General features: G+C 42.4%; 1 long non-coding RNA gene across 2 annotated transcripts, besides 3 other annotated features; it reads right to left on the bottom strand.

Annotated features, from left to right (window-relative positions):
- Positions 1–1,355: 1,355 nt before the first annotated feature.
- LOC105374287 (uncharacterized) lies at positions 1,356–14,568 on the bottom strand. Of its 2 annotated transcripts, XR_007096292.1 has the most exons (3): positions 13,603–14,568; positions 10,680–11,967; positions 9,437–10,209 (listed from the first exon to the last, which is right to left on the bottom strand). It is a non-coding gene; the product is annotated as an uncharacterized LOC105374287 (long non-coding RNA). The 2 variants fall into 2 exon arrangements; XR_007096293.1 differs by having other exon boundaries at positions 1,356–11,967; positions 13,670–14,568.
- Positions 14,563–14,857: an enhancer, noted in NCBI's record as "tiled region #4772; K562 Activating DNase matched - State 5:Enh, and HepG2 Activating non-DNase unmatched - State 8:EnhW". NCBI's record gives its function as "activates a minimal TATA promoter and a strong SV40 promoter by Sharpr-MPRA in K562 cells, with weaker activity in HepG2 cells {active_cell/tissue: K562 | HepG2}" and the evidence as "EXISTENCE:reporter gene assay evidence [ECO:0000049][PMID:27701403]".
- Positions 15,031–16,692: an enhancer, noted in NCBI's record as "VISTA enhancer hs1344". NCBI's record gives its function as "enhancer in: forebrain[8/8]" and the evidence as "EXISTENCE:transgenic organism evidence [ECO:0001131][PMID:17130149]".
- Positions 15,513–16,163: an enhancer, noted in NCBI's record as "NANOG-H3K27ac-H3K4me1 hESC enhancer chr3:193661299-193661949 (GRCh37/hg19 assembly coordinates)". NCBI's record gives its function as "activates a minimal SCP1, AML or CMV promoter by ChIP-STARR-seq in naive H9 embryonic stem cells {active_cell/tissue: H9 hESC(naive)}" and the evidence as "EXISTENCE:reporter gene assay evidence [ECO:0000049][PMID:30033119]".

Below are 27,482 nucleotides of genomic sequence, written 5' to 3' on the forward strand. Positions count from 1 at the left end.
TATGACCACGTGACCAGCTGCAGAAACAGGGACTGTAATTGTCATGAGTATTTCCTCTTCCCTTCTTTTGCTAAAAATATGTTTGTCCAGGTATATGCTTGTACTAAGAAAATATCTTTATTTTATTTCCTTTTCCTTTATCATGTGACATAAGATTTATTGACTTCATATCAGCATTTAAGTATTGTTAACTTTATGTAATAGTATTTGGGTTGGGGATTGGTGCATTTATCATTGTACCAATGATAGTCGTATTATGTTAGGTATAATTATGACCTTATTATTTTCTTTATTTGAAGATTATGTGTGATCTCATGAGATGTGTATGAGTTCAAGTTGACCAGGGGTGGACTTGTGATGGTTAATGCTGAGTGTCAACTTGATTGGATTGAAGCATACAAAGTATTGTTCCTGGGCGTGTCTGTGAGGATGTTGCCAAAAGAGATTAACTTTTGAGTCAGTGGACTGGAGAAGGCAGATCTACCCTTAATCTGGTGGGCAAAATCTAATCAGCTTCTAGCAAATACAAAGCAGGCAGGAAAACATGAAAAGGAGAGACGGGCCTGGCCTCCCAGCCTACTTTCTTCCATGCTGGTTGCTTCCTGTCTTCGAACATCGGACTCCAAGTTCTTCAGTTTTGGGACTTGGACTATCTCTCCTTGCTCCTCAGCTTGCAGACAGCCTATTGTGGGACCCTGTGATCATGTAACTTAATACCTAATAAACTCCCCTTTATGTATATATGTCCTGTTAGTTCTGTCCCTCTAGAGACCCCTGACTAATACAGGTGGTCAGGAAGGTGACATTTGAATAAAAAGCATGAGTCATGTTAGTATCTGGGGAAGACTGTTCCAGGCAGAGAGGACAGCAGATGCAAAGCTCAGAGGCAGGAGCATCCCCAGCATGCCTGAAGAACAGGAAGAGGGCTGCTGTGGCTGGTTAAAATGAGGGAGGAAGAATTTAGGAGATAGTAACCCCAGACTTTTGGCTCCCGGAGCTAGTCACTAAGAAGAGGTGGGAGTGAAGCATCTAATACTCTCATCCTGAGAGGCTGCTGGGAGGAGCTGCTATTGCTAAAATCTTGAGCTTCTTGAATAAAGCGCATTGTGTTTTAGAAAGGAGAAAACTATGACTCATTCAACTGTGTAGTTAGTGACCTGCTTTTCATGAGCTCCCAGGAAACGCTCTGCACCCAAACCAAGTCAGTTCTGCTCTCCAGAGATTGTTTGATTTGTGTTATTCAAGAGAATTATTTTTCCTTCCTGTCAACTTACAAGGAAGAAATGTCTCAGCACTGGTATAGTGTCAAAGACTTAACAATTGGATATCTGGGGAAAAATACAGATAGGTACATAGACAGATAGACATAAGTTTATTGTAAACTTTACTAATATAAAGAACATGTACAACACAATTTAAAAATAATAACACACAATACTTGTATTAGGGTTCTCCAGAGAAGCAATAGGGAGATTTTGATATATAAGATGGGATTTACTGTAGGAATTGCCTCACACTCAGTTACGGAGGCTGAGAAGTCCCAAGATATGCTGTCTGCAAGCTGCAGAACCAAGAAAGCCAGTGGCGTCGTTCAGTCTGAGTCTGAAGGGCTTAGAATCAGGGTGTAACTCCAAGTCTTGAGAGCAGGGCTGGGATGTAGGGAGTAGAAATGGGGGGTGCGAGGGTGCTAGTGTAAGTCCTGGCATTTGAAGTCCTGAAAGCCAGGAGCTCTGATGTCTAAGGGCGGGAGAAGGTGATGTTTCAGCTCAAGAAGAGAAGGAGAATTTGCTCCTCTTCTTTCTTTTTGTTTTCTTGAGGAGGGCTCTCAGTGGATTGGGTGATGTCTACCACACTGGTGAAAGTGAATCGTTTTTACTCCATCTAAGAATTTACATGTTCATCTCTTCCAGAAGCACCCTCACAGACACACCCAGAAAAAATGATTTGCCAGCTATCTGGGTATCACTACACCCAGTCACTTTGACACATAAAATTACCCATCGTAATACCATTTACGGTAAATTTTATACAGCCAAGTGAGACTCACAAAAGGCTTTCATTGATTGCTGCTGAAACTTTGAATATGTAGCCAATCTATGTGAGCAGCTGACAAACAGCTGGAGCTCTGGCATGAATGTTGGTTGATATTTTCATTTAAGTGAATACGTAAGACAGAAGTGAAACAATAAAGGTATGTAGGAAGTTTACTCTTTCATCAATGATATGCAGCTTCTTTGCAGAATTGGGTAATAGTTTTTGAGTACTAGAAGAATACTTCCTCAACTTTTTGTGCTATTCACCATGTAATGGCATGGACAAAACATACTGTTAAATTTAATCTGCATTATTAATATTTTTCCATCATGTTCTTAAGTCAAGATACCAGCAAAACAATGAATCACCCTCAGGTTTCTAGCACTTGTCCATTTCCGTAGTGTAAATACTCACACCACAACTGATGTCACATGACCAACACGACATCACTGAATGCAGCTGAGAAGAGATGGACACCATTCTGCAGTGTCTCCGTCTGCCATGTAGCTACCATAGCTGCTAATAACCTCAAGAGTATGTGTAATGGTAGAATATAGTAAAATAATCTGGAAGCAATGAGTTTTGAGTATTCGTTTCCTTTTCATTTTTTAATTAATTAATTTACTCACCTACTTTGAGAGATGGGGTCTTGCTATATTGCCCGAACTCCTAGGTGCAAATGATCCTCCCGCCTCAGCCTCTACCGAGTTAATGGGGACTACATGCATGCCTTTGTTTCCTTTTTGAGGATATAATTTATTTAATTATAAATCCATAAAATTTAATTTTAATAATGGCTGTATTTAACAACTGACCCACAAAACTTCTAAAATTTTAACAATTGTCTCTCTTGAGCTGGTTGTAAACCAGCTCCAGTGCACCCCTGTGTCTTAGTGGTGTCCTGTCCTGTCTTCACAGCTGATTTTGAAGTTTCAGGCTCTTTGCCTCTTTCATCCTTTCTAAAGGCAGTGGTGTGAAATAGACAATTAAGGCCTAGGAGGGATCCACAACAGTACCTCATCTAGATACCAGAGCATCACAGAAGACTTAGCAATGTAGCACAGACACATGAATACTTAAATTCTGACCTATTGCTAGTAATAGGTATACACATAGCACATCAATGATGCTGGAACAGATTGAAGAGGTCACTTTAATTCAGCCTCTCACCCTCCTTAATAAATGCCCTCCTTCTGTAACCCCATCATACAATCTGTTATTAACCTATACAGAATAATTTTTAAAAATGGCCAGTCATGGTGGCTCATGCCTGTAATCCCAGCACTTTGGGAGGCTGAGGTGGGAGGATTGCTTGAGGCCAGGAGTTCATGACAAGCCTGGGCAACATAGCAAGACCCTATCTCTACAAAAAATTTAAAAAACAATTAAAAAATTTATGAAGAATAATAAAAATAAAATAGCACCATGGTATTTTGAGAATAAAGTAATTAGTAAACCATGTACTCTCTCCCTCTATTTGACAGGGATCCCAACAGAGTATGCTCTATACTATTGGTATGATCATTTGGAGGATAATACACACTGACAAGCTAGTAAAACTATATATGGACTCTGTCTCACCTTAAACCCTTAGCTTATAGAAATATACTAGCTGTACACATAATAACATCTATATATGGCCAGGAGTGGTGGCTCACACCTGTAATCCCAGCACTTTGGGAGGCCAAGGCAGGTGGATCACCTAAGGTCAGGAGTTGGAGACCAGCCTGACTGACATGGTGAAACCTCGTCTCTACTAAAAATACAAAAACTAGCCAGACATGGTGGCAGATGCCTATAATCCCAGCTACTTGGGAGGCTGAGGTGGAAGAATCACTTGAACCCAGGAGACGGAGGTTGCAGTGAGCCGAGATTGCACCAATGCACTCCAGCCTGGGTGGCACAGTGAGGCTCCATCTCAAAAAACAAAAAACAAAACAACAACAAAAAAAACTATATTTTTTTAATCTCCCTTCCCCAAAACTGCCATGCCATGTCACACGACTGTGGTTTTGCTGAGGTTGTTCCTTCGTCCTGCAGATCTCTTCCTTTGTCACTACCTGTCAAATCAAGGTCCAGATCCAACAAAATTCTTCCTGTTCTCAGGAGGCACAAGCTGTTCTTCACCACCATGGCCCTCTAACCTCCAGCACTCTAATGGAACACTGCTACTTTCTGCCAGGAGTTATAATTATTCGTGAGCTCCTAGAGGACAGGGATCATCCTGTTTTATCTTTCAACCTTGCTCTCAGGGTCTCGCACAGTGAGATCAATGACATAGTCATCCTGGCCACAGGGAAGACATACTAGTGATGTGTTACTTGGATGCAGCTATGACTCAGATGATGTGCCAAGCTTGGCTATAAACATGCAGCAAGCACACCAGCTTCTCCCTCTGCATTCTCAGCAGAGCCTGACTTCAAAAAATCACCAAAAGGAAACTTCAATCACCTGAAGTTTCTAAAAGATAAATAAGTAATGTTCAGACCACAGTTGCTCTCCAAAGGGACAGAATCCACTGCCTGAACTTGTACCATGGCCTTGAGGTGCACTCCCAGCTGTCTGCATCATGATATGGCCGGTGTCCCTGTCAATGTGCACAGGATGAGAAACTGAAGCTCCTGTTGATGAGAATCAATAACAGCAGTAATAATCTTGCCCTGGTCTGCACGAGGCAGCCCCAAAGGGGAGTCCAGCCTCATAAACTCTGCAGGAAGGTGGCCTGGCTCCATCGTTTGCCAGCTGTGTGACTGGTGCAAGTTGCTCAACCTCTCCACCAGCTTCCTCAACTGCAAAGTGAGAATCATAAGCATGCCACTCTTATAAGGTTATTGTGAGGATTTAATAAGTTAATATACGAAGAGTGCTTAGAACTGTGCCTGGGATAAATCTTCAATGAATGGTAGTTATTATTTATATTAATAATGACAACAACAAATATTATTAGAAGAAAAACATTTCTAGTGGCCTCTTCTGTTGCAGGAGGAGAAGAGGGGAGAGGAGGGGATAGGAGAGCAGGGAGGACTGGGAATGTGGGAATATGGTTTCTAGGCCTGGCTCTATGATTATGTAACTCTGTGACCAGAAGCTAAATCACGTCCTCCTCTCTCTGGACCTCAATTTCTTCCTCTGTGATATGAGGTCGTTGGACTAGATTAGAGTTTCCTAAACTGAGCTAAGCATCAGAATATTCTGGGAAGGCTTTTTAAAAATCTAGGTTCTCAGGCCCCACTTCTAGTTTACTGAATTGGGCTCTGAGACTGTGGATACCAGGAATAGTATTTGTTTTTAAGCTTCTTTGGTGAGTCAAATGCAACTAGTTAGTGCTTAGGAGCCATTGGATTCAACCAAAAACTCCAGCCTCAGGGTTTTTTTACTTACTGTTCCCTCTGCTGGGAAAGCTCTTCCCCTCAATGTTTCTTTGACTCAGCCTCTCATTCATACTACTGCACAAATGTCACCTCCTCAGAGAAAACCCTTCTGATCATCCTATGTAACTCTCCAGCCACTCTCCAACCTCTTAATGTGACTCATTCCTCCCTGTAGCACTTCTTACCATGTGCCTTGGTTGGCTGGTCATTCTCCTTGCTCCCTAGACTGTAAACTCCATGAGGGCAGGGATTGAGTTTTGTCCACCACTGCATCCTAGCAACTCTGGTATAGTGCCTGGTTCCTAAGTGGCACTTAATAATTCAGTTTTGAATTAACTAATGAATAGCTGAATGGATTGGATGAATGAATAAGTGTGCATCCACTTTGCCTCTGCCTGTAGGTCAGAATGTGGAGCTAGCCGACAGCAGCAGGGAGGTGAAGGGAAGCAGACAGCGTGCTCAGTAGAGAAACTCATGGAGAGTCTTTCCTCCTGGGAGACGTTCTAGAGTACAGCTCAAAGCCTCTCACTGTGGCTCAGCCTTCAGGGATCCCTGAAGTTCCCCAGGATTGTGGACTATGCTTCTGCTATTCCTGAGGCGATTCTCCAAGGGAGAGGTTTTTAAATCTAGCTGTCTGCCTCAGAGCTATGTTTTGGGGTTTCATAGCACTCAGATTTTCCAGGTGCTTACATTTAGGGAGGATGATGACAAACTTCTCAGCAGTCACTTTCTGGAGGGGTGGGGAAGCTTTCCTGATCTCCATTATAGAACAATATACACCAAGAGACATGATGTCATTTAAAAAGGTGTTTTAAAAAGGTGTTTGAGCTGGAAAATGTTTCCAAAAGTATTTTAGGGGGTTCATAAATGATTAATAAAATTTATAGAGGTGGGTTATTATCTTAAAAATAGAGTATATATGAAATACTTTTGAAGGTAAGATTTTATGGGCTAGCATTATATTTCCAGATTTCTAGGCCTTTAAAACATAAATATGCTGATCAGAGCTTTAAAAGAAAAAGTCCATTTTCCCATCACATTTTGTTTGCACAATTGGGATGTGGAAACTAGACACATAGATTCTGAGGTATTTAACTCATCTGTTCAATTGTTGGCCCTACCAATCAGAAATGATCAGCTTAAATATCATATCAGCATCTGTAATTTTGACTGACTTGCCAAACATCAAAACTCTCTTTTTGCCCTCTGAATAGTATTTTTTCAAAACTTTGGGGAAAATAAATAAGTCAGATAATTTATGATGTGAAAGAGCACACCTTTCCAATATTAGAGAATATTCTCTCAAGACTTAGTTGCACTGATTAAGTTTGGGCAACGTTAAGTGGATGAAATTTTTCAACAGAACATATCAGCCTTTTTCATATGTTAATGTGCGTGTGATTTTCCTGCAGGAAAAAATCAGACATAACATTTTCCAAAATATCTGATCAGGAAACTCTGTAGACCCAGACTGCCATTTATCCTCTTGTGGAGCTAGCATTCCTCAGAACACAGATAGGAAATGCTGGTCTAGTAAGGACAACTAGTGGACTGGCTTGAGTTTTTAGAAAATACGGTTTGTTGTTTGTTTGTTTGTTTGTTTGTTCATTTGTTTTTGTTTGTTTGTTGAGGAAGTTGGAAGACAAGTGTTATAAGAATTGCCCAGTGATTTTTCTAAATTCAAGATATGATTCCTGCCCTCTGTAAGCACATGAGAAATGAAAGAGATGGCACAGATGTGTTCTTGGTATGGATGGCCGGTTTAACAAAAGTACCTATGGGTAAAAATCTACTTTTGGCCATGATGGAGTAAACTGGTATTGGATGTGCCTTCCACCACAAGCAATGATTAAACAGGACAAAATATCTGAAGCAATTATTTTCAGGCATAGAATAATGGACAGCAGAGGTGTGATCCTCGAAAGAAGGGAAGCCCATGAAGTGAGCCCTGCATGCCATCTGGCTTTCCATCCGTGGACAGTTACCAGGTCACCGTGCAAGGAGGGGGCGCACAAGCAGAGGACGGTGAGCATGTTTAGTGGAGGAGGCAGAGATTGGAGCTTGGGAGTGCGGGAGTGGTGGAATCTGCAGGGCAAGGTACCCGAGGAGAAGTATCTGTGCAAGAAGGTTGCCGGAAGTTTGTATCAGGCAGTCCTCCAGGGTTCTTGGCTGAGAACAGGACTCTACATGCACAGGGTAAAACTCCACTAGGCCTATTAGAGAACAGATATAATGGGGATGAAACCTGAATAGAAACACCAGAGGTCCTGAGGGTTGGGAGACTTTGGAATGCCAGCCAAGCAGAGGGGAGACACTTAGGTGAGCACCTCACACCGCAAATTCCATGCCTTAGGAAAAAGGACTGTGCCATAGGATAAGAAATAGACCCATGCTAAAAGAAACCTTAACACACCTTCCACAATGCTGAGGTAAATCATCAGTAATTTAACTGCCTGTTTAGCAACTGTACTGGCACCCCTTGCTAGTTCAATAAGGTGGAATAAAAAGGGTAAAGATTGGACAGAAAGAAGTAAAAGTTTCTTTATCTGCAGATCATGTGAATATATATACATACATTAAATACTAAGAGATACATAAAGCCACTGTTAGAACTAGGTAGGGAATTTAGCAACAGAACAAGCTACAAGGTTAAATACACACATGTCAATTCTATTATGACATACTAACCACAAACAATTAGAAAGTAAAATTTCAAAATGTCATTTGCAATGGCATCAAAATACATAAAATATTCAGAAGTAAGTTAGACAAAAGATGTGCAAGACCTCGCCAGTAAAAATTATACAATCTTGCTGAGAAAAATAAGGGAAAACAAATAAATAGAAAGAAATAGCATATTCATTCATTGAAAGGTTCAATATTGTTAAGGCATTAAATTTCCCTCTTACTAAACTAATTCACAGACTCAACACAACCAATCAAAATCTTAACAAGCTTTTTGTAGAAATTGAGAAGTTGATTCTAAAATTTATATAACAATGCAAAGGATATCTAACATGGCCAAAAGAATCTTCAAAAAAAGAGCAAGATTCAAGGGGCCCCAATATCTGATTTCAAGACATTAAAAAATATACAAAAATCATAGCAATGTGATATTGGCATGAAGACAGACCAAAAAGAAAAAAAATAGAATAGAAAGCTCAGAAATAGAACCACACAGATACAATCAGCTGATCTATGATGCAGGCATCAGAGCAGTTAACGGGGAAAAGGAAAGTCTATCAAATGGTTCTAGAAGTACTGGATAAATGTTGGGAGAAACATAAGCCTCAATCTTTGCCTCATACCATACATATAAAATTAATTGAGATGAATTATCAGTTCAATCACAAAATTTAAAATTAAAGAGCTGCTAAAAGAAAACACAGAAGAATGTCTTTACAACCTTGGAGTAGAGCAAAGATTACAGATTTTTTCTGTATCCCAAAGATGAGACACAGAAAACACTAACTATAAAATAAAAATGTGAAAACTTAGACTTCATCAAAATAATAAACTTTTGCTCATCAGAAAGACCCCTTAGGAAAATGAAAATGAAAGCCATAGGCCAAGAGAAAATATTTGCAATACCTGTGTATTAGAAGATAGTTTATCCAGAAAAGGTAAAGAATATTTGCAAATTAATAATAATATAAACTAATAAAAATGGACAAAAGACTTCAATGAAGTTTCATGAAAGAAGATATGGGAATGGTAAAAGCATACAAGAAAAGAGTTCAACATCAATAGTCATCAGAGAAATGCAAGTTAAAACCACAATGAGATGACTACTAAATACGCATCAGAACAGCTACATTTAAAAAGACTCACAACATCAAGTCTGTAAGGAGGCAGAACAACTGAAACTCATTACATTGCTGTTAGAAGTGTAAGGTGGTAGAACCGCTTTAAAAAACTGTTTAGCAGTTTCTTAGTTTCTTACAAAGTTAAAGATACATCTAATCTATGAGCCAGCATTTTCACTCCTAGATAATGACCGAAGAGAAATAAAAACATATGCCCACAAAAAGTCTTATCCAAGAATGTTTATAGCAGCTCTATTCATAATAGTCCGAAACTGGAAACAACCCAGATGTCCATCAACACAAGAATGGATACCCTGTGGTATAGTCATACAATGAAATGTTACTTACAAATAAAAGAGAATGAACTACTAATACACTCAATCAACATCATGGATGAATCTCAAAAAGTAATATTTTGAGTGAAAAGTGCCAGATACAAAACTATTCATACCGTTTGATACCATGTATATGAAATTAAAGAACAGACAAAACGAATCCATAGTAATAAAAATCAAAACAGTGATTGCCTGGGGAGGGTAGTATTGACTGGATGGAGGCAGCAGACTTCTGATGTGATGGGAATATTGTATCTCTTCATTACTATGTGGATTAATGGGATGTGATACACCCAACTGTACTCTTAAGATCTTTGCATCTCATTGTATGCACAATTTTACCTCAAAAAAGTAGCGGGAGTAGTGATGGGGAAGGAGAGCATGAGATGGTAGAGAAATAAAATTAAATTATCCTTTACTTGCAGGTGTGCATACACAACCACCACTGCTACCACCGTGCATGCACGCACACACACACACACAGAAAGAGGCAATGTAAATACGTGTAAGTGCATTCATTGTGAACGGGGCCAGTGTTGCACAGAGCATCATATGCTTTAGGTCCGTTTGAATAACTGTCTTCAAATCTCATTATAACAAAGATCTTTCCTCTATTCATTTTCTGTCTTTCTTGGGCTTTATTACCGAAATACCCACACACGTCTAAAAAGAGAGGAAACAGAAACATTAATTTTAAATTTCACACTTCTCAGAATCCAAGACAAATTATTCCTTGTTGACATTTTAAAATTTCATTTCCTGCCACAATTCTTTTGGGTAAGGAAACTAGAAAAGAAATGACTCTCAACTCCTCCCTTGCTTCCCAAACCTGGCCATTTGATTTGAATCTAGAGTTTGATAGCAGAAAAATATTTTTTTCAAGAATTAAAAATAGCTACTATTCTAAATGTAAGATAGCTCCTTAACTGACTTAGTAGCACCTTCCCATTAAGACCAACCAAGTGATATTCTCAACAATAGCACCTCGTTTCATGACTAAAGTGCACTGGTCACATTAAAATGTAACCACATGGAAATGAATGTCCCCCTTTTCACATCTCTGTCCTTGGTTTCCATAGAAGAGGGCTAATTACCTTTTTAATAGCCCTAATTGATGGGCTTACAGATCCTACCTTTCAGTCCCACTTGTGTGCTGGTGAGAGTGGGGGTGGGGCGGCACTCCATCCTCCTGACCCCTCTGCTCCAGCTCTTCCTTGTTGGAAGGAGGTTTGCTGACTCGTGAAAGGCCCCTGCCTTGTGTTTCTCTGTTTGCAAGACTACCTGCCGCCCATTGTGGGCTGACCAGGAAGCCTTCGCTTTGTCTTGGCCAATTGACACAGCTGCACACTCGGTAAATAGACTCAGATGTTGAGCTTTTGTTTGAAGGATCTTTTCAGATTAATGCAGAGAGAATTAGTTTTTAAAACTTAAGCCGGAGCCAGGATGAGTAGAATGGAGCTGTGAGCCATTGAATTCACATCCACAAAATGAGGCCAACTGTCTTACAAGGGTATTTATCCCCTGTTCCTTTTGGAGGTAACATTGAGGGGAGAGGCTCCCACTCTCCCTGGCCTCAGAGTCTTTACTCAGGTCATTGTGAGGAGAAGAACTGACCAGCAATTACACTCTCCAGCTTCATTCTTCAAAGAGAGATAGTCCAGCCCTTAGTAAGGAGATGCAATTACTGCAAAATGTTTGTCAACAATTGATTTGGGTTTTCTTATTTCCAGATGATAAGAGATTCTGATAAATAATGTAAGAGGATCCATGGCCTCCAGCAAAGACCATTTTAGCAGATATGCAGACAGGGCAGCAGTCTGGACTCAGCACTGATCACCACCTCAGACTCTTCAGCCTTCATTATTTATACCACCCAACCTGTGCCTCACCAACGCACTCATTCGGAACCATTCCCTGTTGAGACACCAGTAGCAGTCACAGGTCTCAATGGATGGCTGGTCTCTTGAGGGTGGGGCCATACCTTGGAGTTCTCCCGTACCTACCATTTCACTTAACACAGGTTGGAATTTTAGTCACAGTTTTGTTGATTAGAAACTATAGGACTTTATTCTTCTCTGAGACTTGCAGACTCCATTTTCTCAAGCTATAAACTGGGGACAATTGCTCTTCTTTGCTAACAGTTCTATGTACTTAGGAGGCAGTTTAATGTTGTGGAAAGAAATTTGACTTTGACTCAGACAGATCTGAGTTCGAATCCTGCCTCTGCCACTTACTAGCTGTGTGATCTTAGACAAGGTCCTCCTCTGAGCGTAGACCTCCTCACCATGACAATCAAGATATGATTGTCCCGTGCCATTGTCAGGGATTGAAAGAGTTTTCTCATTTCTATGTGAAAATGAGAAGCATATCATGTAGAATATTGTAGTATTCCCAATATGTTAGCTCTTGCTCTCCAGGTCTCTGCTTTCCAAAGATTTTTTTTAAGAATAAAAAAGATGGAAAAAGAACCTAGTGAATTATACAGTATGTATATATGAAGCAAGATTCCTTCATGACACAAAGCATGCAATAAATGCTGAAGAACAGCTGTTGGTAGGCACTTCCAGTGCCAACCCTGTCAACCTCTCCTTTCTCTCCTCTCTCTCCAGTGTCTGAGTGACTGTCACCCCACCCACGACCCATGCACACCCTTCCCACCGCTCCCCCAAATACACACTCACTAACAGAAAAAGAACTGCTGACAAAACAGAAGAGGTGAGTCCGAAGGATGCAGGCAGCCATGCGAGGGGAAAACAGGCATCGACATCTGAAAAAGTGACAATTTTCTAAATGTGTAGACAGGGTGGCATGCAACATATTTCCCAAAGGAAAATGGTGGATGTGGGTAGCTTCCTCCTCCTTGTTCTAGGTTATGGGATTTAAAGAAAATGTTTATTCCTCTTTTCCTTTATGGAAAATTAACCAATCTGGGATTCCATCTCCCACATTCTCCCATAAAGCACTTTCTGCTGGAGAGTTGGGACCCCCATGCCCTGCCACAGGCTTGCTGTGGGCTTATGGCCCCCCAGTAGTAAAATAAGAATTGGACTATATGGCCTTACGGACCCCTCCTGAGCCAAGCATCCAGGCTCCTGATTCCCCTGCAGCTTGCTGCAAGGAAGGATGTGAAAGCAGAAAACGTGGGTTTTGAACCAGCTCCAACTATGAGGAAAAACGCTGACGGAGGCGCTGCATTGTGGAAAGCTAGGTCAACCCACAGGTTAGGTCAGATTTCAAGTTCTGATCAGCACGCCTCTAGACTCTAAGAAATTAACACTGGAAAATAGGCCTCTGCTTTGGGAGATAATTAGTGAAAATATGGTTGATTGAATTTTAAAGGATAAAATATAGCTTCAAACTGTAGCCTGGTGTCGCTTTCTTTTATGACATAGAAAAGAGAAACTTCTCCTTCTGATAGCAGACTCCTCCATGGGAAGAACACTGGAATGGGAATCAGAAGAAATGGGCCAGGCGCGGTGGCTCACACCTGTAATCCCAACACTGTAGGAGGTCGAGGCAGGAGGATCACCTGAGGTCACAAGTTCGAGACCAGCCTGACCAACATGGTGAAACCCCCTCTCTACTAAAAATACAAAAATTAGCTGGGCCTAGTGGCGCATGCCTGTAATCCCAGCTACTCAGGAGCCTGAGGCAGGAGAATTGCTCGAACCCGGAAGGCAGAGGTTGCAGTGAGCCGAGATTGAGCCACAGCACTCCAGCCTGGGCGACAGAGTGAGACTCCATCTAAAAAAACAAAAAGAAGAAATGCACACGCCAGACTTGTGCAAATCACCCAACCTCTCTGAGCCTCAGTTTATTTCTCCGTAATAGGAGATGGAATCCCTCCCCAAGCTCTTCTCTTCCCACGAAGAGAAGGGTGCTACAAAGAAATAGAGGTTCGCTGTTGCTATGTTTCCTGCCTGTCCTGATCCTCTCTATCGCGTGTTCATGTTCCTTGAACAATGTTGGCACTTCCCAGTAGGCTCACGTGGGAAGTGTCAGCACCAGGAACTTTGCCATGAAATGCACATAGAGATGGAAGGCGATTGGGAATACCATTTGAGAACACTGAAGCAGGGTGCACTGAAGACAAGCACGTTGTGGTGAAAGGAAAAGGATGTACCAGGAGATGTGAAGGGAGCCTTGATACCAGCGCATTCCACCTGCCTTGCTTTTGTCGTCAGGTTTAAAGAAGGCAGTGAAGGGGCCCCAGGCTGAGAGGCAGGAGGCCTGGGCGCTGATTTCGCCTCTCCCTGCTTTTGGGCCTCAGTCTCTTCGTCTGTAAGAAGAACGGGCCATCTCTCTCCAACATGCCAAATTGCTCCAGAAATCAGCTTCGTGTTTTTCCTCCTCATCCCGGGTTCTTGAGCCTGATTTCAAAAACGACGAATTAGAAAATCATAGTCTCTGAGGAACCACCTTTGGTTTTGAGGCTTTTAGCTTAAAGCTCAGTTTCTAAATCTTACTCAGGTGGTCAGGCCTGATTCCTGCTTGGCTCAATCTGCCTAGAGGTAGGCAAAGGCGGCTGTGGTAGGAGACCAGGAATAATCACAGTGTAAGGCTGGATTGGTGTGTCCTCTGGTCATGGGAAGCCTTCAGAGCTGGGCTGGAATTTCAGCGGGTCTTCAGGGGTGCACAGGTAAAGTCTTGGTGGACGAGCATTCTAGGCAAAAGCCATGCCGGTTCATGGTGCTGTGTACTTCAGACTGTTTAGTAGATTCCCCGCTACAAAAAATAGTCCTCGGCCGGGTGCGGTGGCTCACGCCTGTAATCCCAGCACTTTGGGAGGATGAGGCGGGCGGAGAGCCTGAGGTCAGGAGTTCGAGATTAGCCTGGCCAACATGGAGAAATCCCGTCTCTACTGAAAATACAAAAATTAGCCAGGCATGGTGACGCGAGCCTGTAATCCCAGCTACTCAGGAGGCTGAGGCAGGATAATCGCTTGAACCTGGGAGACGGAGGTTGCAGTGAGCCGAGATCGTGCCACTGCACTTCAGCCTGGGCCACAGAGGGAGACTCCATCTAAAAAAAAAAAAAAAAAAAAAGTCCCCTAAGTGTACAGTGACATTTATGGCATGCTCACTCACAGGGAAGGGTGAGACAGCAGTTCTTTCATGATTGACATTTTTGAGCTGACCGCAGCTCTGCTGCTTTCAACGTTTGCCCCAGGGTCATCTTTGCTCTCCCCAGGCCACCAGTGAGAGCAGAGCATGGAGATGGCCTGTGTCACTGTTCCCTTGGCCCAAACACCATTAGCTGGAAGTCTGTCACGCAGCCACATCTAACTGGAAAGGGGACTAGAAAGTATAATCTAGTTGTGGACCCAGGAAGCCCGTGACAGTGGGGATTCTAGGGAACTGCCAGCTATCTCTGCCAGTCAGGACCATTTATTTCAGGCTGGGCTCCTTCTGAATAGAAAAGCAGCCGGAGGCCCAGGCGAGGCAAGTGAGGGAGGAAGGGAGCAGCCGTCAGCCTGCAGTGCACTCAAGCCAGCCTCACTTTTTGGGTAAAGCCAATTTCACTCCAGTAGATACAGAGGCCTGGAACCCCTGGATAAGGAGGCCTCCACATTTCTCCCTGTCTATGAGAAGGTGAGAGAGAAGGTTCAAGAAGGCTTTTTCACAAGCAAACCATCAGGCCCCCCAGGGTGTAATTTGGAAACCCCCTGGCTTTCCCTGGCTTTCCCTGGCTTTGCCCTCGGCCCTTGGTCCCTCCTCCTACCCTGTTTTCAGCCCATTTCTCTAGGCATGCACCAGTGGCCAGGACTACCACGTTGCCTGACACCTCGGCTCGGTGCCTCGCCTGTGGGCCACTTTGGGCCGGAGCTACTGATGGGAGCTGATTCAAGAGCCTGGCCCAGCCCTGTGGCTTTGATGGGCTTTCATCCTCCCGCCTGCGCTCCTTGGCTGGACGCCTGGGGAGCTGCATAGCCTTGCCCCGGGCTATCTGCTTTCAGTGGGAGAGGTCCTTCTCTCTGAATACAGGAGGACCCGGAGGTGAGGAGGTGAGACTTGGGCACTCTCGTCTCTGCAGCCTGAGAGCTGAGCCTGCGCCAAAGCCATCTGCCTTCACCCAGCTTTCCCAAGGAGCAGACAAGATAAAGGACAGACGGAATGAACACTGAACAACTTGTTAATGATTTTATTGCAGGTTAAATCAAATGTCTCCAGTAAAACTACAGGAGAACTGCTTTAACCTTACCCTGCTGTAAATATGTATTAACTCAATTACTATCAGCAATTAAGGCCTAGTTTGGGAACACTGGTCTGAGACAAAAAAGACATTATCATCCTGGGAAATGAATCCAGAATAAAAGGAATTTATTCCACCTGAGCTAATGAGCAGCTGTATGGGGATGGAAATGAAGGCCTTTGCCTCGGAATTGCTTTTGACCGTTCATACAGGGAGAGGAGAAAAGGTTCGCCTTTACGTAAAGCTCTTGGAAGCACATTAGGGACATTGTTACAATGCAAATGAGGAAGACCGTTGTGTTTGGGTGGTTTATGGGTTTAGTAAAAGGAGTAACATTTCAATTAGTGGGGAAGGAATGAGAACCTGCCTCAAAGAGGCTTAATTGGCAACTTGGCTTTCCCAGGGGGCTTTGAAGTAGCATCAGAGAAGGAAAGTTTTCAGAGATGGGTGGAGAATAGAGCAACTATAGGGCCCTTGCTGTGCCTGTGAGAGGGCAGATGGGGTGCTCAGAAGGTAAAACCCACAGCACTACACAAATCCCAGCCCCGCGCGAGCGCCCGCTCCAGTCTTCCGGGCTTCTGAGTGGTTTTCTCCACGCCGCTTCTCCCAGCTCCCCCCTGAGAGCGTCAGGACCCAGCCGTTTCTAAAGCAGGCAGCCTCCACGAAGCCATCTCGCTTCAAAGGCTGCAGCCCTAACCTCACCAGTGTGGAATTCCTTTTTTCCTTCTCAAGAGCCCCTGTTGCTGGGTCTCGAAGTTTAGTCCAGCAAACTGGGGAATTCAACTCCTAATTGCAGTGAGTTATGGGGGAGGGTGCAATATTGCATACAAATGTGTATTTTCTGTGCATGTGTGTTCAAGGACTACAAAGTCTGAAGACTGAGGATTCAAGTATGATCGTACCTTAGGGCAAGGGATTGCACAGGTGACTCGTCAAGGTGGGGCTCTCAGATTTCACAAGTCGCAAAGGCATCCAGATCGACATTATCCTACGGTCTCGTCTTTCCTAGCCGTGGCATCCTCATGAGGTCTTTGTCATGTAATTCATGCTCACAAGTCACTCAAATCTTCATGCATCTTGACTGATTTGAGGTTTTACTTCTTAATTCAGTCATTCACAGGGTATGGCAAACTTTTTGTTTTCTAACATGGAGGAACTCTCCAAAGGAAATGTTACAGATAATATGCCAAGATAATCGTTTGCAATGAAGTCTGGAAGAAAATTCAGCTAACCCTGTGTTTTAGCTGCAAGAGAGCAATCTGACCAGGGGTTTGGAGAGCTGTCCAAACCAAGCCTCTAAGTGGTATGCTGGTCTTTCTGAGCTTGAGAAAAAAAGAATGAAGAACTTCCAAGTGACTCCACCAGTCCCTCGGTTCTCTTGATGTTGACTTTGGGGAGAACGAGTTCAACACCCTTCCCATATGCGCATCTGTGAACGTGGATTGGATTTTGCTTGAGATCTTAGCACTGAACCCTGAACTAAAGGAGGCACTATGCCTCCATCTGAAGCAATCAGTCCCCAAAGCACAGGACTCTGAGCCAGGCTCTCTCCCTTCATCCTCCCCTCTCCTGCGGGTGGCTTCTCCTGGAACACTGGCTCATATCTCTGGAGCCTGTGGTTTGGGGATTGCCATTAGCCAACTACAACAGAGCCTGGAGAGTTTACTTTGGGTCTAAAATGGGAACTGGACCCACTCTCTGAGTAATGCTCATCACTCAGCAGGTCTCAGCCGGTGGCCTACAACTTTACAATTGACCCCTCTTCCCACCACCGTGGGTTGCTGTGTAGAGCAATCACTTCCCTCCTAAGCCTCATCTCCTGCTGCCTCCTCAAAGTTGCGATGGTTAGAAAACATGGCATCTGTATGCACCCTGCACGTTCTTGCATGCCAGGAAAGCTGAGCCACCATGCAGTCGCATGGCATGTCCGATCCGTCATGCCACTGTGAGGAAACAGGACGAGGACCAGAAAATCAGCACAGCAACATAAGTTCCTGACTGCTGCTGTGAGTGGACCGGAGATGCTGCACCAGTGACCCAGTCACTGCAGCAACTAGAAGCTGGGATTGACTGGATGCCTTGGGACAGCACAGAATCCATTTCAAGTGCTGAAAAGGACCTTAATAATATTCTAACCAACATACGGATGGGAAACGGAGGCCCGGAGAGGGAAGATTCCTACCCGGGTGCCTGCAGGGAGAGAAGGGCAGAGCTGAGACCCAAACCCAGGTGGGGGTACTGAGGCCAGTGCCCCCTTCTAATATGACTGAATCTCAGCTTCACTTTCCAGTGTGTTTTTGCCTTGGCGAGGGTGGAAATGAGTTTCCAAAACTCTGCAAAGAGAGAGGTATGCGGAGGGGCCAGACAAAGCCCGTGAGCATTTACCATAGATCTCTCTAAAATGGATAATCAATCAAGACGTTGTTGTATACTCTTGCCTCCTTGAGGGAGCATCTTGTGTACTTTCTCCTTGTTCCTCAGACCCCTTCACTATAACCAAGGTTGCCTCTGTGGTGAGTTCGTTAACGCTCGGGAGAAAATTCTCACATTAGAGCATTATTTTCAAAATGCACTCTTCAATGTCCAAAATATTTCCATTCCCAATATCTCACAGTCTTTTTTATTTTTTTATTTTTTCTATAATTTCAACTTTTATTTTATATTCAGAGGGTACGTGTGCAGGTTTATTACCTGGGTATATTGCAAGATGGTGAGGTTTGGGGACACAATTAACCCTGTTACCCAGGTACTGAGCATAGTACCCAATAGTTCGTTTTCCAACCCTTGTCCCCCTCTCCCCCTCCAGTAGTCCTCAGTTTCTATTACCGTCTTGATGTCCACGAGTACCCAGTGTTTAGCTCCTACGCCTAAGAAACAATATGCAATATTTGATTATCTGTTCCTGCATTAATTTACTTAGGATAACAGCCTCCAGCTGCATCCATGTTGCTGCAAGGACATGGTTTCACTCTTTTTATGGATGTGTAGTATTCTATGGTGTATATGTACCACATTTTCTTGATCCAATCTACCAGTGGTGGGCACCTAGGTTGATTCCCTGTCTTTGCTATGTGAACAGTGCAGCAATTAACATATGAGTGCATGTTGCATAACCTTTAAAGGCAAAAAGACATGCTCTATTATCCCATTTTTACAAAGAGGAAATGGGTTTTCAAGAGGTAAAGTAACTTGCCAAAAGCCACGCTCCCCACAAGTGGCTCATACAGACCTAAAGCCAAGTCTAGATCGAAGTCCAACACTTTGCAGAATTCTAGCTTCCAGCAGGAAACAACCTGACTTAGACAATACCTCATTATTTACTTCTCCTCTCTGGGGACAATGAAATTAATGTTCCTTTGAAACATGAGAGTTTGGATAGATGACCACATGTACTTGTCACCACCTCCTCTTCTCTCCTACACCTGGTGTACAGGCAAGGCTTTGAAGAATATAGTGAGTCATTGCAGTCCCCCATCCCTCTTTCAAAATTCCCTGCAGCCGATGAGACCGCTGTCCACACTCACAAACTTACCCTCCCCATTGAGAGTCTGGCATCATCGACGTCTCTCTCAGAGCCTGCCTACAGAGGGGCTGGCCATTGTTCTTGGATAGATGGCTAGACCTTTCAGCCTTCTGTTTTAAAGAAACAGGATGTGGCCAGGCGCAGTGGCTCATGCCTGTAATCCCAGCACTTTGGGAGGCTGAGGCGGGCGGATCACCTGAGGTCAGGAATTCGAGACCAGCCTGGCCAACATGGTGAAACCCCATCTCTACTAAAAAATACAAAAATTAGCCGGGTGTGGTGGCAGGCACCTTAACCCCAGCTACTTGGGAGGCAGAGGCAGGAGAATCATTTGAACCTGGGAGGCGGAGGTTGCAGTGAGCCGAGATCAAGCCATTGCACTCAAACCTGGAGGACAAGAGCGAGGAAAAAAAGAACAAGACATGAGAAAACACGTCAGGCAATCTGGGGTTATGCAGAGGCGATAAAGTCTCTTCATCAATTTTGCTACTTGGGAGTTTCTTCTGGAACATATGAGAAAAGAAGTGAATAGCTAAAGGTGGAAAAGATGAGCTAAGCCAGAGTGTTCACTCCCTGGACTAGAGTCTCGCCAGTAAAGTAGATAACAGAAAATATTTCAAAGATGAGACAAGCAGCAAATAAACCACTGAGAGAATAAAAAATGACTTCCTCCCAAATTTCTTCCCCCCTAAAAATACAAAAGATACAAGATATGTGGTTTTTTTTTTTTTTTTTTTTTTTGAGACGGAGTCTGGCTCTGTTGCCAGGCTGGAGGGCAGTGGCGCGATCTCGGCTCACTGAAGCCTCCGCCTCCCAGGTTCAAGCGATTCTCCTGCCTCAGCGTCCTAAGTAGCTGGGACTACAGGCATATGCCACCACACCCAGCTAATTTTTTTGTACTTTTAGTACCTTTGTACTTTTGTACCATGTTGGCCAGGATGGTCTCCATCTCCTGACCTTGTGATCTACCTGCCTCGGCCTTCCAAAGTGCCGAGATTACAGGCATGAGCCACCGCACCCAGCCCTCATGTGTGCTGCTTATATCTGACATAGGAGACATTGAACTCACACTCCGAATCTTGAGATATTAAAAGTTTTAAGAGATAAATGAGTTCCTCTTAGACAATTATACCTTTATGTCTGCCAGACTCAAATGGGATTTTCTGTAGAATCGTATGGTATATGAAAATCTTCTTTTATTGCAGCCGTTGGAGATGTGTGTGAGTATGTGTGTGTGTACATGCATATTATGCATGAAATTTTGTATCTTCGTTCAAGCTGTCACCCATCTCTCATCTGGAAAATGGCAATGGGATTAAAAGTGCCCCTGGCCTTGAGCCAACCTCTGCCAACTGTGTCTAAGATGCACATCTCACCACTTCCTCCCTTTGGCTGACACCTGCCCAGAGCTCCCCATTGTCCACCTGATAGAGTCTACCCTCCATAGACATAAAACCCCCAGTCCTTCTTCAACCCTCCATGCTCATCATTTCCTGCCTCACAGTTTATGTGCCAAGCAACACGGGGCTCTTCCTAGTTTCCTGCCCTGGTGTCTTTTCTCCTCCATAACCTTGCTTATGCTAGCATCTCTTCCAGGACCCAACATGCTTCTCCCACCTGGACCCCTATTCTCCTACAATGCCCTGGGTGTATCTGTAACTAGCACTTAGAATCACCTGTTCTGGTGTCTGTGTCTGCCACTAAACACACAATGTATGAAGAATATCATACATCAAAAACCACCCAAATCTTAAGTATACAACCAGCCAAATGTTTTCAAATTTCAACCAGCACCCAGAACAAAAAGCAGCCACTATATTTTTGAGGTCAGAGGCTGAGTTTTGTTCATCTTTGTAACTTTAGCACCATGACCAGTAGCTGGCATGCAGTATGTATGGTACCAAATGGTTGTGGAATTAATCAATGAATGGTTATTTCACTGTCTTTTCCTTCTGTTTCACTCATTTACGTTTTCTAACTATTCTCACTTTACCTAAGTTGACCAACAGGATAATTCAGGATTTCTCGCCCAGGCTTTGAGAGCTTGAGTTCTGAATGCTGAGGGTTGTGAAGGAATGTTGGTAGTTAGGGGAAGAAGCATGGGGAGCAGCTTGGCTGCTGACCACCAAACCTGGATAGGCAACTTGGTAAGATCCAAGACTCAGCCATAAGTGAAGATAAAAGTCTTTTCTCTTCATAAACTTCAAGCTATAATCTCAGCTGCCAAAGCATGTCACAGTAACTACCTCAATTAAGAATCAATGAAGAGATCACTAAAGAATAGAACATTTTAGCCTTTTTGCATTACAGCTAAGAAAAGGGAACAGGTAGCATTCATTTTTTCCACACTCAGCCTCTGGTGCCAGGTACCAGCATCGCCTTAAGTTGACAGCTGGCCCACACCTGAGGAGCAAAGGGTCTATTCTCCCTGCTTTCCATGTAAGCAATCATAGGAGGTGTACTATAAAGAGAGTGCTCCCTAAATATTAATGCCCCCATCCACACGCTTCTCTGAAAAGTCCACATTAGGAAGTAGTAAACGTACCATTTAGTTAGCATGTACTATGTGCCAGGCATTTGATAAATAGCCACTTGCACACATTACCACATTTATTCTTCATAACTACTCTCTCAGGTGAGTGATATTATCCGCATTTAACAGGTGAGAAAATTGAGCAATGGAAGCTGGGGTGTGACCTCATATCTTTGATTCCAAACCTATAGTAACTACTCTATTATAAACAAACTATATAACTTGCTTCCTCGTGTCCCTGCAACTGATGAGAAGACCAGTAGTGTCGAGGTTGAGAAACCCTTCTCAGAGGACTCCCCAGAACGAACCTGGGAACTTCAGACAGACTGGGTGGGCCTCCAGCCGGGCCTCGCAGCAGAATCAGGACGGGTCTGTCTTGCTGGCATGCCTCACATTCTCAATCTCACTGCTGGAAACCCAGATTCAATATTACCTGAGGCCGAAGCCTGAGTTCTTATGGTAAATTTTCCCCTGGGGAGTTAGAGTTTCTCATTTATGTTCACCCAAAACCTTACTTTGAAAGAACTATTTTGGAGAAGTTCACAGTGCACACGATGGAAGCATTGAAAACATCTACTCTTTCCCAGGGGCAGTCAAGGGAGATAGGTCCTTCTGAAATGGAAGGGAACCACTCCCCAAAGGAGCATTTCTGAATGAGAGATTAGCAAGGGTTTCCTCAGCAAAAAGCTCGATGTGAGGGCAAGCATCCCCTTCCCTGGCCTGAACGAGCAGCGTGTCATCCCGGGACCTACCCAACACCCTTGGACAGCCTAAGGAAAGGACCTTCTGGCACTGTTCAGACCAACAGCTGAGCCAGGGGCCTGACTAGTGCTCACCAGCATCTGAGCCCATTCGCTGGCTTGAGGACGGACACAAAGAGCCACCCTGATCCCAAGTCCAGGCCTTTAATGAGCCCCTCCACTCCTCACCTCTCAGACATCCCCTGTTTACATTTTATTCGCCAAAGGACCTAATCCCCGGGCTCCAGTCTGCACTTCATCTTGTCTCTGTGTGTCCTCCAGATTAATGCTCATCAGTAACTGTCGCCACAGAGGGGAAGACCCGAGCGTGAGGACATGCCAAGCCCTGCAGCTTTGGTGCCAACCAGAGAAAATATGGAAGAGGAAACCCAAACATTTATAAACATTTCAAAATGTTTAGTTCAAGACGCCCCATGTAAATAAGAGAGTGCCCAGGAGACACTCGTTTTCCTTGGACTTACATATTTTGTCCCAAATAAAGATTAGCTTAAAAAAGAAAATCCAAGTCACCAGTCCCTGCTTCTCTTTCGCTTCTCAGGCGCATAAGATCTTTTTCATGTAGTTTGCTTCAACGCTATTGTATTTCTTCTGCGCTTTGAAACTGAACCCCTCTTTGATGGATATTAGTGGAACGTGCTTTCGTGTCTCCCTAATGAACTTTCACTTGGAAAATGCCCCAAACAAGGAAGATGCTAGAAGTGTAATGATATTTTGTTTAAAGCAAAGAGGGACCTTCTCTTCTGGTTTCCCCCACTTTGGTCCACCCCAGAGGAATAATTGGCCAAGAATCACAGAAGGGATCATTTACAGCTTTACTTTCAAGCTCCCCAGTTCCCTTTCAGACTGTGTTTACTCAGTCAAAGGCTTCAGACTAGCCAGGGTGGGCCTCCTGACAGCCCCATCTTGCTGGCCCTGGGATACTCTGATTGGGATTAAACCCATGCTGATCTGTCAGAAAGTGGGTGATTGAGAGGCTTCTTTGTGATGCTCGTGGTAAGATGAGAGGATGGAAGAGTACAGATGTGGAGGCAATATTCTTTAGGGCACCCTTCAGCTCTTGTGCCTGGAGGAGCCCAGGTCGGCAGTCCTGGGGTGATTACTGGCTACACGGAAAGCAAATCCAAAATGGAAGACAGCTTGGCACCATGGGAGAAACTGTTCAGTGGTGGTGTTCTTTATTTTATTTTTTTCTAACAATTGAAAATATCCTGTGGGGAACAGTCTTCTCAAATCCAATCAACATTAAGTTTCAAATAAAACTAAGTATACAGGAAATAAGTGAGCAACAAAATATAAGGCCATTAGATGTGCCTACATTGGTGTTCTTGTTTTTCCCTCAGTGGGTGATTCCTTAGGGAGAGATTAGCTATAATAATTAGTACTTTTGTAAATAAAAGAAATTGTGTGAAGCTGGAAAATTTACAATAGATGAAGTATAGTTGTCAAAGCACCAAATTCTCAGTGTGGCCAACTAGGAAACCTGCATTCTTTCCGTTGCTGAGTCACTTGCTGGTTGTACAGGCTTGGACAAGTCCCTGTCTTTTGAGCTTCTGCTTCTTCATCTATAAAATGGTGACATGCTTCCAGGTTCTGTTCTTCACAGGTTTGTTCTGGGAATCAAACAAGGCCTGAGGGTGACAGCACCTGGGATCCCTAATACTTGACTGATTATTATCAACTGCCTTTGGAGTATGGGCTTTAGAAGCTGAGGTTCCCCCTTTGGTCAGTATCACCCACAGGTCATTATTCAGAACTTCCCAGCTCAGGGGTTCAGAATTTCTCACTGCTATGCTTTTTTGTTAGTTGTTCATCTTTTTTTTCCTTTTGTTTTTAGTTGACATATCATGATTATAGAGTAATCACATAATGGTTGACACATTTATAGAGTGTAGCGTGATATTTTGATATATGTATACAATGTGTAATTATCAAATCAGGGTAATTAGCATATGCATTACCTCAAACATTTATCATTTCTTTGTGTTGGGAATATTCAAAATCCTCTCTTCTAGCTATCTGAAAATGTATAATAAATTATTGTTAACTATAGTCACGCTACAATGCTATAGAACACTATGACTTATTCCTCCTATCTAGCTGTAATTTTGTATCTGTTAATCAACCTTTCCTGTCTTCCCTTCCCTGCCACCCTTCCTAGCCTCTAATAACCACAATTCTACTCTCTACTTTTATGAGCTCAAGTTTTTTAGCTCCTACACATGAGTTAGTACCTTCAGTATTTCTGTGCCTGACTCATTTCACTTAACATCATAACCTCCAGGCTCATCCATGTTGCCATGAATTACAGGATTTTATTCTTTATTATGTCAGAATAATATTACTTTGTGTATTTATACCAATATATATTCCAATATCTATTGAGATGATCATACTTTTTTTGTCCTTCATTCTGTTGATGTGATGTATCACATTGACTGATTTGCATATGTTGCACCGTCCTTGCATCCCTAGAGTAAACCCCACTTAATCATGGTATATTATCTTTTTGATGCATTGTTGGATTCAGTTTGCTAGCATTTTGTTAAGGATTTTTGCACCTGTGTTCATCAGAGATGTTGGCCTGTGGCTTTTTCTGTTGTGTCCTTGTCTGAGTTTGGTATCAGGGTAATTCTGGCTTCACAGAATGAGTTAGAAAGAATTCCCTCTTCTTCATTTTTCTTGAAATAGCTTGAGAAGAATTAGTGTTAGTTCTTCAAAAGCTTGGTAGAATTCAGCAGTGAAGCCATCTGGTCCTGGGCTTTTCTTTGTTGGGAGACTTTTTATTACTGATTCAATCTCATTACTTGTTATTGGTCTGTTCAGGTTTTCTGTTTCTTCCTGGTTCAATCTTTATAGGTTAGATGTGTCCAGGATTTGATCAATTTCCTGTAAGTTTTCCAATATGTTGGTCCATAGTTTTCATAATAGTCTCTAATGGCCCTTTGTCAATTGTAATGTCTCCTTTTTTATTTCTCATTTTATTTAATTGTGTCCGTTCTCTCATTTTCTTAGTTTGTCTTGCTAATAGTTGGTCGATTTTATTGACCAAAAAAACCAACTTTTCATTGCGTTGATTTTTTTTTTTTTTTGGTCTCTATTTTATTTTCTTCTTCTCTGATCTTTTTTGTATTTTTCCTTCTACTAGTTTTGGGTTTTGTTTTTTCTTGCTTTTCTAGTTTCTTGAGACACATCAATCACTAGGTTGTTTATTTGAAATCTTTCTACTTTTTTAACGTAGGCATTTATTGCTATTAATTTCCTTCTTAGTATTGCTTTTGCTTTATCCTATAGGTTTTGGTAAGTTGTGTTTCTATTTTCATTTGTATCAACAAATTTTAAATTTCCTTCTTTATTTCTTTATTGACCTATTGGCCATTCAGGAGCATGTTGTTTAATTTCCATGTGTTTTTATGGTTTCTAATGTTCCTTTTGTTATTGATTTCTGGTTTATTCCATTGTGGCCTGAAAAGATGCTTGATGTGATTTTTATTTTAAAAAACCTTGAGACTTATTTTGTGGACCAAGTTCAATGTTTCTTTGTTGAAACAAAGATTTCTTGTCTAAATGATCTGTCTGATGCTGAAAGTGGGATATTGAAGACCCCAGGTATTATTGAATTGGAGTCTAGAGTCTCTTTAGCTCTAATAATATTTGCTTTATATTTGAGGGTGCCCCAATGTTGGGTGCATATAGGTGTACAGTTGTTATAACTTCTTGATGAATTGATCCCTTTTTAATTATGTAATTATCTTCTTTGTCTCTTTTGATGTTTTTTGACTAAAGTCTATTTTGTCTGATGTAAGTATGGCTACTTCTACACACTTTTGGTTTCTATAGGTATGGAATATTTTTTCCCATGCCTTCACTTTCAGTCTCTGTATGTCTTTACAGGTGAATGAGTTTGCTATAGGCAAAATGTAGTTGGATCTTATTATTATTTTTTAAATTGATTCAGCCAGTCTACATCTTTTAATTCAGGTTTAAACCATTTACATTCAAAGTTGTTATTGAAAAGTGAAGACATACTCCTGTCATTTTGTTGATTATTTTCTGGTTGTTTTGGATGTCTTCTGTTCCTTTATTACTCTTTTATTGTTTATCTTTGTGTTTTGGTGGTTTTCTGTAGTGATAACATTTGATTCCTTTCTCTTTCTCACTTGTGTATCTGCTCCACAGGAAGTTTTATATTTTCATGAAGGAAGATGTCATTCTTTTGGCTCCAGGTGTAATAGGGTCCCCTTAAGCATTTCTTGTAGGACCAGTCAAGTGATGATAAATTTCCTCAGTCTTTGTTTGTCTGGGAAAGACTTTACTTCTCCTTCATTCCTGAAGGATAGTTTTGCTGGATATAGTACTCTTAGATAGCAAACTTTTTCTTCTAGCACTTTGAATATATCATTTTATTCTCTCCTGGCCTCTCAAGTTTCTGCTGAGAAATCTGAAGTTAGTCTGATGGAGATTCCCTTCTATGTTACTTGACAGTTTTGTTGTTTTTAGAATTCTCTGTCTTTGATTTTTGTTAGTTTGACTATAATGTGCCTCAAAGACATTTTGGGTTGAATCTATTTGGGGATCTTTGAGCTTCCTGTATCTAGATGTCTGTATCTCTCCCAAGTCTTGAGAAATTTTCATCTATTCTTTCATTAAATGTATTTTCTATGCCTTTTCCCATGTCTTCTCATTCTTAAACTCTCAAAATGCAAATTTGCCTAATAGTGTCCCATATGTCATGTAAACTTTCTTCATTCTTTCTTATTTATTTATTTATTTATTTATTTATTTTGTCTGGGTTATTTCAAAAGACTTGTATTTAAGTTCAAAATTTTTTTCTCCTGCTTGGTCTAGTCTATTGTTGAAGCTCTTAATTGTATGTTTTATTTAATTCATTGAATTTTTCATTTCCAAGGTTTCTATTTGGTTATTTTTT

This window comes from Homo sapiens, chromosome 3 (genome assembly GCF_000001405.40).
Source record: "Homo sapiens chromosome 3, GRCh38.p14 Primary Assembly".
In the NCBI taxonomy this organism is placed as follows: domain Eukaryota; kingdom Metazoa; phylum Chordata; class Mammalia; order Primates; family Hominidae; genus Homo; species Homo sapiens.